At 46.0% G+C, this 14,435-nt stretch overlaps 1 annotated feature.

The window, feature by feature from the left end:
- Window positions 628-922: an enhancer, noted in NCBI's record as "tiled region #2921; HepG2 Activating DNase matched - State 8:EnhW, and K562 Activating non-DNase unmatched - State 21:Repr". NCBI's record gives its function as "activates a minimal TATA promoter and a strong SV40 promoter by Sharpr-MPRA in HepG2 and K562 cells {active_cell/tissue: HepG2 | K562}" and the evidence as "EXISTENCE:reporter gene assay evidence [ECO:0000049][PMID:27701403]".

Here is a 14,435-nt window from a genome sequence, read left to right on the forward strand (position 1 = left end):
ACAGGTGCTGCCTGCCAACGGAGCAGTTGCCTGGGCTGTTGGGAGGGTCGGAGGCGGGCTTCCTGGTGTCAGCTAACCTCAGTTCTTTCTAAGAGGCAGTGAGTGAAAGTCAGTGCACTTGGCTGAGCACAAGTCCCTGAGTTCTCTGAGCCTTAGCCAATGGGCCAGCCAACCGGAGGCCTATAGGCAAGTGCTGCTCTTGGGTGTGCAGGAAGGAAAACGGGCCCCATTGAACACCTCCCAAGCTTGCTCCCACTTTGGCACCTAAAATAGTCAATTTTAGCTGATCAGGTTCATTTCGCAACTCGGTTATGTGATTCCCAAGCATTACCTCTTATCTCGAAACAGAGGTGTGAAAACAGAACCGACTTGGCACAGACTGGCCGCCTGAAGGAGGGTCTTTGTGTGAGGCTCAAGACTTGTATGGTGGAAAAGAACACACAGTGCCGGCCCGTATCCCCCCCACTTCCATTCATTTGTCTGAGACCAGACCCTGCCCTACCCACATTACAGAGTATCTCTGGCCCCTGTAGAGAGAAAAGATAGCACTTGTACCACTATGTGAGGGGCTTTGGCTCCTGCCTGGGGTGAATCTGCAGCCCCACACGAACAACTCAAATAGCTCGTGGATGTTTCCCAAATGTGTAGTGAGGCTTACTGCACAAATATGCAGGTGGCACCATGGCCCTGCCCTCTAGGGAGAGAGAAGCAAGATGGCGCCATGCCAGCAGCTTCACAAAGTGGCGTTGTTACCTCTCCTTTAGATGTTCCTGTGTGGCTTCATTGGTGCAGAGGAGGATCTGTTTACACCGACTGGCTCATATTGATCCTTTTGGGGGAGGGGAACGACAATGCTGGCCTCTGTTAGTCTCTGGAGTATGCTGGAAGTGCTCAGCCCACCCCAGAGGGTGTCCTGTGATCCCTCTTGGTTGACGCGATACTGAATTACACCCCTGGAGGGTGAGCTCATTCCTGGGCTCAGAAAACAAGTTTCTGACCAGGATTGGGGTAAAACTCCAGGTATTGGGTTCTTTGAGAAGCCCATTGTCTCCTTGAAGTGAGTTGAGGGCACTGTTTTTTCAGAGTTGGGTCTCTGGAAAACAGGGAAGTCCACAGGCTCATTTAAAATACACAAGAAATGTCTCCGGGGATATGTTGGAAAAAATTTTTGAAATATACGTAACAGTGAAATCTGTGGGGTTTAAATATAATGCATCTTTTCCCCAAATCCTTTAAATCATAGTCATGGTCTCTTATTTTGAAAAACTTCAGCTGTCATTTTGCTGTAGTTTTTGTTTTTCCCGTTCAGAAAGACTGTGGGCATGTCGGGCCCTGTGTCCTGCTAAAGAGGTTATAAACTGAGTAAAGGAAAGCAGAGAGGGCCGTCTGCTAGATCAGGAGACAAGGCCCAGGACAGAGACGGCCTTGGGAGCAAATGTCCTGCAGGGCCTCAATTGCCAAGTCAGACTTGTGACTCCTAGGGATCATCTTCACCCCAGGGCGGATCCCTAGTGTGTGCTCCCTGTCACGTTCTTACAATACTTTCTTTTCAGCAGACTGAGGGATCTCCTATAACTCTTCCCTGAACTGGCTTCACCAGTACATGACATTAGCAAAATCAGTCTATTCTCCAGTAACCTTCAAGAAACTTTTTTTTTTTTAAATAGAGACAAGGTCTTGCTATGTTGCCCATGCTGGTCTTGAACTCTTGGGCTCAAGCGATCCTCCCACCTCGGCCTCCCCAAATGCTGGGATTACAGGCATGAGACACCATGCCTCTTTATCCCCACATCTCTACCTGCTCCGGCCTCACCTCCAGGTAGAATAAGGCACAGAATCCACACCATCCTTCTGCCTTGAACATTCTCCAATGTGGCTTCAGAAACCCACGCTGAGTCCCTATATGCGGAACCCTGGGACAACTTAGCCTACATCCTTTTCTCTAGTCAGCTTCCTTTCAATCCATTCTCCACCCTGTAGCCAGAGCAAGTTTTCTAAAATGAAAATCTGCCTGTCATTCTCCAGCTTAAAGGGTTTTAATAGTTTTGTAGAGTTTCTGAGAAAAAGTATAAAGCCCTTTGTGTGGCATTCAGAGTCCTTCAAGATCTGGCACCTTCTTCCCTCTCTCTCTCTTTCCTTCTCATGTGCACACCAAGTTTCTTCCAGCCAGATCTGCTCCATGTTTCTGGCTGGCTTTCCACTCTCCGTAGGCCCTGCACAAGCGTCCTACTGTGCCCAGTCTCTGCCTCTTCTTCCAGGCTGTGAACAAGCAGGGTGATGTCTTATTTGTCTTCCTATCCCCAGAACTTCACCAAATGCAGGTGGCAAAATACAGGGGCTCAGAAATTGTTTGCTGAGTCATTTTGAATTGGAATCTTTCCTAATATGTATTATGTACCTTTTTAAACAAAGTGAGCTCAACAAAATGTAATTTTTTTTTTTTGGGTCTGGCTTAGTTGCTTTCCTGCGTAGACTGTGCTAGATTACAATTGTATCTGGATACCATGTAGTCCTCGTGTTCCAGGCTTGGGAAGGAAAGGAAAGCATATTTAGAGGGTGATTTTGTATTAACTAACAGCTTTTACAAATGAGTTGGATCAAATGCTTCCACTTCTAGGACCCTATATTATGGAAATGAAATACTGGAACTAATGGTTAAAAGGCCCAGCGACATTGATACCGCAGAAAACTATATAGCTGTTGGGCAGGGCACAGTGGCTCATGCCTGTAATCCCAGCACTTTGGGAGGCCGAGGCGGGTGGATCACCTGAAGTCAGGAGTTCGAGACCAGCCTTACCAACATGGTGAAACCCCATCTCTACTAAAAACGCAAAATTAGCCAGGCGTGTTGGTGCATGCCTGTAATCCCAGCTACTTGGGAGGCTGAGGCAGGAGAATCACTTGAACCTGGGAGGCGGAGGTTGCAGGGAGCCGAGATCGTGCCATTGCACTCCAGCCTGGGTGACAAGAGCGAAACTCCATCTCAAAAAAAAAAAAAAGAAAACTATATAGCTGTTATTAAGGGAAGAGTAGATTTGTATTTCTTTTCTTTTCTTTTTCTTTTTTTTTTTTTTTAAGAGACAGGGTCTTTCTTTGTTGGCCAGGCTGGAGTGCAGTGGTGCAATTCTAGCTCACTATAGGCTCAGGAGATCCTCCTGCCTGAGCCTCCCAAGTAGCTGGGACTACAGCCGCGAGCCACCATGCCCAGCTAATTATTTTATTTTTTTGTAGAGATAGTGTCTCGCTTTGTTGCCTAGGCTTGTCTCAAACTTCTCGGCTCAAGCCATCCTCCTGCCTTGGCCTGCCAAAATGCTGGGATTGCAGGTATGAGCTGCCATGGCATGCTTGGCCAATTTGGGTTTCTGACATGGAGGATGTCTATGGTATCAAGTGGTGAAGAAAGTGAATTGGAGAAAAATTGAACAGCATCATCCTCAAACATTCATGTGCAATTTTTTTGTATGTATAGAGAAAGATTTGGAAGGTTATGCATGAAATGGAAGGCCTTGTCCATTCCTGGGACTGGGATATAGAAAAGAGTGGGAGGAATTGTTGATTTTTACATATTTTTCTGGAGTGGCCTCAGTGCTGAATTACAATGAGGTTCAATGAGGGGAGCATAGGGTTATGGTCAGTGACCTCAAAGCCCTAACATTATTTTTTTTCACTGTATTTATTTATTTACTTATTTTTTGAGACCGAGTCTTGCTCTGTCACCCAGGTAGGAGTGCAGTGGTATAATCTCAGCTCACTGCAACCTCCACCTCCCGGGTTCAAGTGATTCTTCCGCCACAGCCTCTCTACTAACTGGGATTACAGGCATGCACCACCATGCCTGGCTAATTTTTTTTGTATTTAGTAGAGATGAGGTTTCACCATGTTGATCAGGCTGTTCTCAATCCATCTGCCTCGGCCTCCCAAAGGGCTAGGATTACAGGCATGAGCCACCACGCCGGGCCAAAGCTCTAACATTATTAGCACTGACACGGTTGGTTCTTCTTTCCGCCTTCTGCCTGTTTTCTGTTTGCCAGAGGTCAATGTCCTGCCTTCTACAGACCCTTCTTATGGCTACTTGCATTTAAATAGGGGATCCTGGAAGATGGGCAAGGTTTCTCAAGACCCAGGTCATGGCTTTTGCCAGTGGTGGAGGAGACTCTTTTGGTCAAGGGACTTCCCTGAAATTACCCACGGGGTTGGGCCAGCATGGGTCCGAGTTTCAACAGTTCTCAGCTGAGGTATGTTGAATCCTGCGGCAGCAGCACTTTGCCCCGTCGATTATGCTGTTGGAGAGTAAGCCTGGGTTAGGGTTCAAGTGCAGATGTGCAATGGGGAGGAGGTGGAGGAACAATATAAATGCTAATAGCCACCATTTACTCAGTGTTTATTGTGTCAGCACTGGGCAAAGTACTTTATAAACATTCCCCCATGTGACTGATGATTAAATTATCTCTGTATAAACTCTAGATTTATTTTATTCTCTTTATTTTTTTCCCCTGACTTGAAAATTAAAGCTTGCAGGTGATAAGTGATGAGGGCAGGATTTGAACCCAGGGAGTGGAGAGTGAGGAAACAGTCTAGTTACTGTAGCCACATCACTTGGGAGACTCATATTTGAAGATGCCTCCAACAGCATAACCAGAGCAAAGCGCTGCTGTGGGCTCCACCACACTTCAACCAAGAAGTGTTCAAACTCAGACCCATACTGGCCACACTTCACCATTGGCAAGCCATGACTCGGGTTGCTGGAAAACCTTGCCCATCTTCCAGGAACCTCTATTTAAAGAACACAAAGGGACAGTGTCACATATTGAAAAGAAGACAGACCACAAAGACTGATGTCTGGTTTAATCCCCATTCTGTGGCTTGGTAATGACCCAGGGCAAATTGCCTCCCTGAGCTTTAATTTTGTCATCTATAAAGTGGAGTGATAATCCCTATCTCACACAGAAGTAGTGTAGAATAAAGGAGCTGGTGTATGGCAGGCAGGAAGCCCTCCTTGGCACTTAGGACTCTAGCTTCTGGTGGCGGGGATGTGGATAGGACTTCATGCTCTAATAATCATGAGTAAGTGTCCTAGAGCACCAGTCACCAGGTCCTTGTGCATGCATTATCTCATTTGGCCCTTACCATAAGCCATCAAGCTATCTCTCTACTCTCTTTAATTGCCCTGCTTGGGGCAAGAGTTGTTTACATTCAACCCTGTTCCCTCACTTCCATTTATACCTCAAACCGCTGGAATCTGGCTTGATCCCACCACTCTGTGGGCCAAGGTCTGGCCAAGGTCACCTATAGTCTGCTCCAGAGAAATTTGAGCTGAGCAGACACTTTTCAGTCCCTAGCTTCTTGGATTTCACGTTTGAGCATTCTTCCCTTCACTTCTAGGGTTTTCTTCCTGCTTCCCCAGGTGCTCCTCTGTCTCTTTCATGGGCTTCTATCCCTCTATGGCACCTTCCTTGTTCTTAATATTTTTGAAACTTGCCACGTTCTCTTCACTCAGCTGCTGGAGTAGTCTTCAGATCTGATGACGTCATTTCCCTGCTCTGTGAAACCACCCTTGGCTCTTAGCATCAAGACCACAGTTCTCATTCAACATGGCCCTGAGGCCCCTGCCTTCATGTGCCTTGCATCTCCAGTCTCATTTCAAAAATGAACTCATCCTTGGAATTCTCAGTTCCATCACAAGTAACTGAAATAGGTCACTCCCTCCATCCTCGGTCAGGTTTCCTATGCTTTGGCTCTTGCTGCCTCCTCTGCCTGGAATGAATAAGCCCTGACCCTCCAGCCCACCCACCACCATTTGTCTGGCTACCTAGTCACCCTGGCCCAGCTGGGATGTGTCTCCTGTGTGTCCCACCAAAAACCGTGTGCTACCACAATCCCAGTCCTTATCCCATGAGAAGCTGTCTCCTCTACTGGATGGCCTTGGGAGCAGGGCCAAGACTTGCTCAGCCCTGTGTTCTCAAGCCCCTAGAGCATGGTGCGGGGGCACCCAGGACAGATGCGCAATACATTTTACTAAATGGAGACTTACCTGCTTTGTACAGTCTGTGGCTTACAAGTTAAGCCTGATATAATTTGAATGGTTGGCCTTTAATATCAGAGAAATTAACTGGTTCCTCTAGAATATTGATTAACAGCCACTCCAAAGAGAGGATATATGCTCTGTCATGTATTATTTGTTGGTGGAAGGTTGCTAGGGTGGTGGATCAGAGGAAAAAATGTTTTTTAAGATACCCATCTCCCCAGCTTTCCTCTAATTCATGCTATTTCTCCTCTTGCTAAGATAAAATGAAACCTTTGCCTTCTCTCTACTCTCCTTATTATCTATGAGTGCTGGTTGGAAGGATTTATTAGAGAAAGTGGTGAAATGCCCTACGCAATCCCAACATAGGACTCTCTCTAGGTTTAAGATGTGTAAAACTGCTTCTTTTTTGTTGCCTGTCCTAAACAGCAGGGAGATTCATTTAAGGAGAACAAGGCCTTCAGTACTTGTGGACTGAATCACAGGCACCAAGGCCTGCTAACTCCTAGGTGTCCCCCAATTCTGCAGGTTCTGCCTCTCCTTGCCCACCTCCTATGACCTAAATTTCCAAATGGTACAGCTCATTCCTCCCCAAAAGTCCCCAGTCAGCTCCTGCTCTATAGAAGTAGCTACCAACCCAGGCTGTGCTGTAGAATCATCTGGGAGTTTTGCGGGGTTTTGTTGTTGTTGTTGTTGTTTGTTTTGTGAAAGAATCTTGCTCTGTTGCCCAGGCTGGAGTGCAGTGGTGCCATTATAGCTCACTGCAACGTCTACCTCCTGGGCTCAAGCGACCCTCCCACCTCAGCCTCCCAAGTAGCTGGGACTACAGGCATGTGCCAACATGCCCAGCTAATTTTTAAATTTTTTTGTAGAGATGAGGTCTTGCCACGTTGCCCAGGCTGACACCTGGGATTACAGACATGAACCACTGAGACTGGCCCCTCATGGGAGCTCTTTATGGTTATTGGTGATGTACGTCCCCTAGTAGACTGTCTGCCTCTGAAGGATGTCTATAGCATAGACCAAAATGACCACAGCATTGTTCTTAGTAACTATTAGTTATATTGAATTCAATGGAAACCTCAGCTGCTTCTGGATTCTCCTGGGTTGTCCAGGAGTTGAATCCATCCTTTCCTCCTCCATGCTGGGCACCTTTCCTCTTTTGCCCTGATAATTCACCCTTCATGAGGTGGGCTGCACCAGCTGCAGTAGGTCTAGTTTGGCTCAAATATTAATTACAAGATTGTTTTGTGGGCCTACGAATGCACTTGAAGTGGTTCAGGCCAACATAGATGAGAATACAAAAGCCATGAACTGAACACTGCTTTGCAAATAGATTGATCAATTGATGGACCTCATAAGTTTTGTTTTAAATTTTTTTATTGATACATAATAGATGTACCTATTTTGGGGAGTACATATGATAACTTAATACATTCATAGAATTCACAAAGATCAAATCAGTGTAATTGGGATATTCATCACCTTGAATACTTTTCTTTATGCTAAAACATTTGCTTTATTCCCTTCTAGCTATTTCAAAATATACAACAGATTATTGTAAACCATAGTCACCTTACTGATCTATCAAACACCAGGTCTTATTTCTTCTATCAAACTGTATATTTGTACCCATTAATCAACCTCTCTTCATCCCCCCACCTCCTCCCCTTTCAGCCTCCAGTAACCACCAGTCTATTCTCTAACTTCATGAGATTTATGTTTTTAGCTCCCAAATATGAGTGAGAACATGTGATATTTGCTTATCCATGCTTGGCTTATTTCACAACACAGTGACTTCCAGTTCCATGCCTGTTGCTGCAAATGACAGGATCTCATTCTTTTTCATTGCTGAATAATATTCCATTGTGTATACATCACCTTTTCTTTATTCACTCATCCATTGATGGATACTTAGATTGATTCTATATTTTAGCTATTGTGAATAGTGCTGCGATAAAGATGGGAGTGCAGATATCTTTTCCATATATTGAAACTTACAGATGTTATCCTAAAAAGTTAAAAGCCTCCCCTCAGTCTAAACTGCTTTGACATCTGGAACTTCCTTTTTCAAACCCAAAGCTGCCTGTCATAATCCCAACTGATTCCTACTGCTTGTCTTTAAATTTTCCATCCCAATAGGCCACCAGCCCTTCTGCTATAAACTTGCACATTCTTTTTTTTTTTTATTTTTTTGAGATGGAGTTTTGCTCTGTCATCCAGGCTAGAGTGCAATGGCCCTATCTTGGCTCACTGCAACCTTTGCCTCCCAGGTTCAGGCGATTCTCCTGCCTCAGCCTCCCAGGTAGCTGGGATTACAGGCATGTGCCACCACGCCTGGGTAATTTTGTATTTTTAGGAGAGATGGGGTTTCACCATGTTGGTCAGGCTGGTCTCGAACTCCTGAACTCAGATGATCTGTCCGCCTCAACTTCCCAAAGTGCTGGGATTACAGGCAGGAGCCACCGCGCCCGGCATACTCGCACATTCTTAAGTCCCTACTCTTTCCTGGCATTCCTCCCTTACCTAGAATGGGTTTCTCATCACCAAAAGCATCCTACCCACTGTTCAAGGTCAAATTCAAATGTCAACTCCTGGGTGTCCCCAGCCAGAAATGATTCCCTTCTCATTTGTTCTTCTAAGATAACTATTTTCTTGCCATTTAATTATTCTTCACTCAGTAAACATCTATTGAGCACCAAATATGTGCCAGGTTCACTTATCCATCCTCTCACTCCGTATGCTATTTTTTTTTCTTCTTTTTTTTTTTGAGACAGAGTTTCTTTTTTGTTGCCCAGCCTTGAGTGCAATGGTGCAATCTCGGCTCACTGCAACTTCTGCCTCCCGGATTCAAGCGATTCTCTCGTCTTAGCCTCCCGAGTAGCTGGGACTACAGGCACGTGCCACCATGCCTGGCTAATTTTTGTATTTTTAGTAGAGACAGGGTTTCACCATGTTGGCCAGGCTGGTCTCAAGCTCCTGACCTCAGGTGATTCACCTACCTCGGCCTCCCAAACTGCTGGGATTATAGCGTGAGCCACCACGCCTGGCCACTCCATATGCTACTATAATTATTTGGTTCTTATATGAGGGGAGGAGATGAATTTTTCTTTCTTTCTTTCTTCCTTCCTTCCTTCCTTTCTTTCTTTCTTTCTTTCTTTCTTTCTTTCTTTCTTTCTTTCTTTCTTTCTTTTTCTTTCTTTCCTTCCTTCCTTCCTTCTTTCTTTCTTTCTCTCTCTTTCTTTCTTTCTTTCTTTCTTTCTTTCTTTCCTTCTTTCCTTCTCTCTCTCTCTCATTCTTTCTTTCTTCCTCTTTCTTTCTCAGAGTCTTGCTCTGTTGCCCAGGCTGGAATGCAGTGGCATGATCTTGGCTCACTGAAAGCTCTGCCTCCCGGGTTCATGCCATTCTCCTGCCTCAGCCTCCCGAGCAGCTGGGACTACAGGCACCCACCACCACGCCCGGCTAATTTTTTTTGTATTTTTAGTAGAGATGGGGTTTCACTGTGTTAGCCAGGATGGTCTCGATCTCCTGACCTCGTGATCTGCCTGCCTTGGCCTCCAAAACAGCTGGGATTACAGGTATGAGCCACCGCGCCCAACCAAATCTTGTTTCTTTTACTATCCCCCCCAAGCCCTTCTTTCTAAGAACAGTGCTTTTCATATGGTTGTGTGCAACAATGTAGTTGACTGAATTGCGTGTTGTTGAATGTGGTCTTGGCAGTGTGAACTGCACACATGTTTTTTCTGGATATGGGTAATGGTATTTATTTTGACCTATCAAGGCTCTGTAAGGCACAACACCTACAGAAGTTTGAGAAGTGACTTCAGAATGAAGGGAACCTCCAGTAAGAACACAGAGTGCCACCCTGCAAATCCTTCCAGCGGCGCCTACAGTGGATGAGAAACATCTTCTCCAGAGTCCACCTCAGACGTGAAGATCTGAGTTGTTTGGTCACCAATCACGATGACTTCGCCACCGCCCTGCCTCCACTCTCCACTCACCTCATGTGAATTGTGTGTGGCTCTTCCTGCCAAGGTCAATGCTCTACCTGAACACACGTTGGCTGTTTTTTTTTTTTGTTGTTGTTGTTGTTTTTGTTTTTTTTGACAGAGACTTGCTCTGTTGCCCAGGCTGGAGGGCAGTGGCACAATCTCGGCTCACTGTAATCTCTGCCTCCTGGGTTCAAGCGATTCTCCTGCCTCAGTCTCTGGAGTAGCTGGGACTACAGGCATGTACCACCATGCCCGGCTAATTTTTGTATTTTTAGTAGAGATGGGGTTTTGACTGTTGGCCAGGCTGGTCTCGAACTCCTGACCTCAGGTGATCCATCCCCGCTTGGTGTTCTGAAGTGCTGGGATTACAGGCATGAGTCACCGTGCCTGGCCATATTGTCTGATGTTCTGATTTGAGTCGTTGGAGTGTTCCCCACTGGACTCGTGTGCACGTGTGGAGCATGGGTGCAGCCCTCCACAAGTCTGTTCTGGGGATGGCTGAAATCCCCCCAGACTCTCTTGCCAGACATCTCCTGTGGATTACCTCTGCTTGTCTTTCTCTTGACCTTTTGCTGGTCATCAAAGGGTTTTCTGGCAAGGTGTTTGCTTTCTCAGTGACCAACTGAGAGCTGCTATTTGGTTTCCTGAGAACTAGATTAGGATTTTTCTAACTTTTAGAAAGGACTCCCAAGCCCATTTTTTCTGAAAGGCTAAACAGAAATCCCTCACTAACACTGATTTCAAATTCAGAACACAACAAATTCCCAAGCTCCACACCTTTCACAAGGTCTGTCTCACGTTTACAAGAGCAAGTTCTGCCTGTCTTTTTCCTTGGCCACTTGGATAGCACTTTCAGCCCTATCAGGGACTTGTCAAGGTGAAGAGAATGAAAGATTGAGTGAGAGACATAGTGTGAAACTACAACAAAAGCTGGGAGAAACGGAATGTTGCTGAAGGGAAGGTGGCTTTGTGCAAAATGTAATTGCTGTGGGAAACGGTTTTTACAAAGTCAAGATGAATTGGTGTGTTAGTACAGAGATTTTTTTTTTCTTTTACAAATGATCCAGGAAAATGGATTTTTAAAATGTAAACATTCCCTTGTAGTATTTACAGCTTCTCTAATATAGGAGGACAAAGGTCTCAGAGCTTAAAGTAAAAAATGCAGGAACAGGGAGATAACAGCTCTTTTACAGTTTGATTGTAATCTAAATATAACAAGAAAATCACTCTAAACCTAAGACATCGTGATGAATAAATATCTGGGTAAGGAGATTATTGAGTCTTTTTTCTTTTTCCTTACTTTTTCTTTCCTAAGGAGTTTTCTTTCTTTGAGAAAGGCCTTTGGTGATGAAGATAAATAGTGGTTGAATGAAAAGCCAGTGTTGGGCTTTGCTGATAGAGGGTTTTGGGGAAATGATTTGTCAGGGCAGAGAAGCTAATAGATGAAATGTGAAACCTCAGAGATCACCTGGTTCAATCCTTCATTTTACACATAAGAGCACTGAATCCAGGCAGGTATGATTTGAGAAGGCACGAAGCCTCATCTCACGACATTTCAGGACCCACCTGTGTCCTATATGACACATAAGAAATACACTTATTTTTCTACCAAACTGGTGTCCTAATTAAAACCTCCTATGGGCCGGGTGTGGTGGTTTATGCCTGTAATCCCAGCACTTTGGGAGGCCGAGTCTGGCAGATCACCTGAGGTCAGGAATTCGAGACCAGCCTGGCCAACATGGCAAAACCCCGTCTCTACTAAAAATACAAAAATTGGCCAGGCATGGTAGCGGGTGCCTGTAGTCCCAGCTACTCGGGAGCCTGAGGCAGGAGAATTGCTTCAACCCAGGAAGCAGAGGTTGCAGTGAGCCAAGATGGCACCACTGCACTCCAGTCTGGGTGACAGAGAGAGACTCTGTCTCAAAAAAAAAAAAAAAAAGAAAAAAGAAAAAAAAAACACCTTCCTAGGGAAGAAATCCTTGAGTTACTTCCATAATGACTTCTATTCTCTTTGAGACCAGCCTGACCAACATGAAGAAACCCCATCTCTACTAAAAATACAAAATTAGCTGGGCGTGGTGGCGCATGCCTGTAATCCCAGCTACTCTGGAGGCTGAGGCAGGAGAATCGCTTGAATCCGGGAGGTGGAGGTTGCAGTTAGCCGAGATCGCGCCACTGCATTCCAGACTGGGCAACAAGAGCGAAACTCCATCTCAAAATAAATAAATAAATAAATAAATAAATAAATAAATAAATAAATAAATAACAGATTTTCAGTTTGCCAATAGAAAATCTGTTATTCAGGGAAGGTCATTATTGTCCTGGGCATCTAGTTCCATGTTTAGTGAATTTTGGCTATGCTGGTTCTCACTCTTGTTGATCCTTGAGAGGTTTCTGTGCCTTGAGGTTTTGCTCCCAACCCCTAGTCCTTTGTCTTAGTCAGTTTCAGCTGATTTAACAGAGTTATCCCATACACTGGGTGGCTTACAAACTACAGAAATTTATTTCTCACAGTTCTGGCCACTGGAAAATCTGAGATCAAGGTGCCAGCAGATTCGGGGTCTAGGGAGGGCCTGCTTCCTGGCCCACATCTGGCCGCCTTCTCACTGGATTCTCACATGGTAGGAAGTACTCTCTGGGCCCCTTTTCTTTTCTTTTTTTGTTGAGAGGGAGTCTTGCTCTGTCACCCAGGCTGGAGTGCGGTGGCGCGGCCTGGGCTCACTGCATCCTCTGCCTTCTGGTTTCAAGCGGTTCTCCTGCTGCAGCTGGGATTACAGGCGCCCGCCACCACGCCTGGCTGATTTTTTGTATTTTAGTACAGACCGAGTTTCACCGTGTTGCCCAGGTTGGTCTCGAGCTCCTGAGCTCAGGCAATCCGCCCCTCTCGGCCTCCCAAAGTGCTACGATTACAGGCGTTAGCCACTGCTCCCAGCCACTGGGCCCCTTTTGTAAGGGCACTGATCCCATTCATGACCAAATCACCTCCCAAAGGTCCCACTTCCTAATACCATCACATTGGGGATTAGGATTTCAACATACAAACTTTGGGGAGACACAAGCATTCAGTTCATTGCATTGCATTGCCCCAAGGTCTCACCGCCTCCATAGGAAAGCAATTGGCAAGCGGTTGTGTGGGGCGGTGCTGCGAAATGGCAAGTTTTCTCTGTGCGCAAGGCACAGGTCTACGGGCTCAGGCTCCGTTCCACAGTCAGACTTCTCCCTGCTCCACTTGGCTCTGTGGCTGCTGACAAGCTCTGTCCACTGGCACCAGCTCCGGCCTCAGAAGTTGTTAACGCTGTTGGGGTGTCCTTTATGAGAAGCGTGAGCTACCGCAGGCCCAGGAGGCCCAGTGGTCAATCAGCCGCGTTCTCCTTCCAGGGAGGGGATGCCCAGCCATGCTCCCTACTCCTTGCACGGACTGAATGCACCAATTCTTTCCTAGCTGCTCACCCATCAGCCCCCCAACCCATAGAGCTCTTGAAGGCAGTGATTGGGTCTTACCTATTTATTTGTTTGTTTTTATTTTGTTGTTATTGTTGGTTTTTGGGCTTTATTTATTATTATTATTTTTTTAGACAGAGTTTTACTCTGTTGCCCAGGCTGGAATGCAGTGGCTCAATCTCGGCTCACTGTAACCTCCGCCTCCTGGGTTCAAGCAATTCTCTTGCCTCGGCCTCCCGAGTAGCTGGGATTACAGGTGCATGCCACCATGCCCGGCTAATTTTTGTATTTTTAGTAGAGATGGGGTTTTGCCATGTTGGCCAGGCTGGTCTCAAACTCCTGACCTCAGGTGATCTGCCAGCCTCGGCCTCCCAAAGTGCTGGGATTACAGGCATAACCCACCACACCCGGGCCATAGGAGGTTTTAATTAGTACACCAGTTTGGTAGAAAATTTTGTATTTTTAGTAGAGATGGGGTTTCGCCATGTTGGTCAGCTTGGTCTCGAATTCCTGACTTCAAGTTATCTGCCCGCCTAGGCCTCCCAAAGTGCTGGGATTAGAGGCGTGAATCAGTGCGCCTGGCCTGTGTCTGATTTATTTCTGCATCCCTGTATTTAACCAAGGGTGAGTGTTTAAGAGATGTTTGTTGCATGAAGTGATGCTCAGTGGCCATTTGCATCTGTAAAAAACAAAACAAAACAAAACACTTGCCTTTCTTTCTTTCTTTTTTTTTTGAGATGGAGTTTTACTTTTGTTGCCCAGGCCGGAGTGCAGTGGCATGATCTCGGCTTATTTCAACCTCTGCTTCCCGGGTTCAAGTGATTCTCCTGCCTCAGCCTCAGCTGGGATTACAGGTGCCCACCACCATGCCTGGCTAAATTTTTGTATTTTTAGTAGAAACGAGGTTTCACCATGTTGGCCAGGCTGGTCTTGAACTCCTGACCTCAGGTGATCCACCCACCTCGGCCTTCCAAAGTGCT

Source organism: Homo sapiens, chromosome 18 (assembly GCF_000001405.40).
Source record: "Homo sapiens chromosome 18, GRCh38.p14 Primary Assembly".
NCBI lineage: Eukaryota > Metazoa > Chordata > Mammalia > Primates > Hominidae > Homo > Homo sapiens.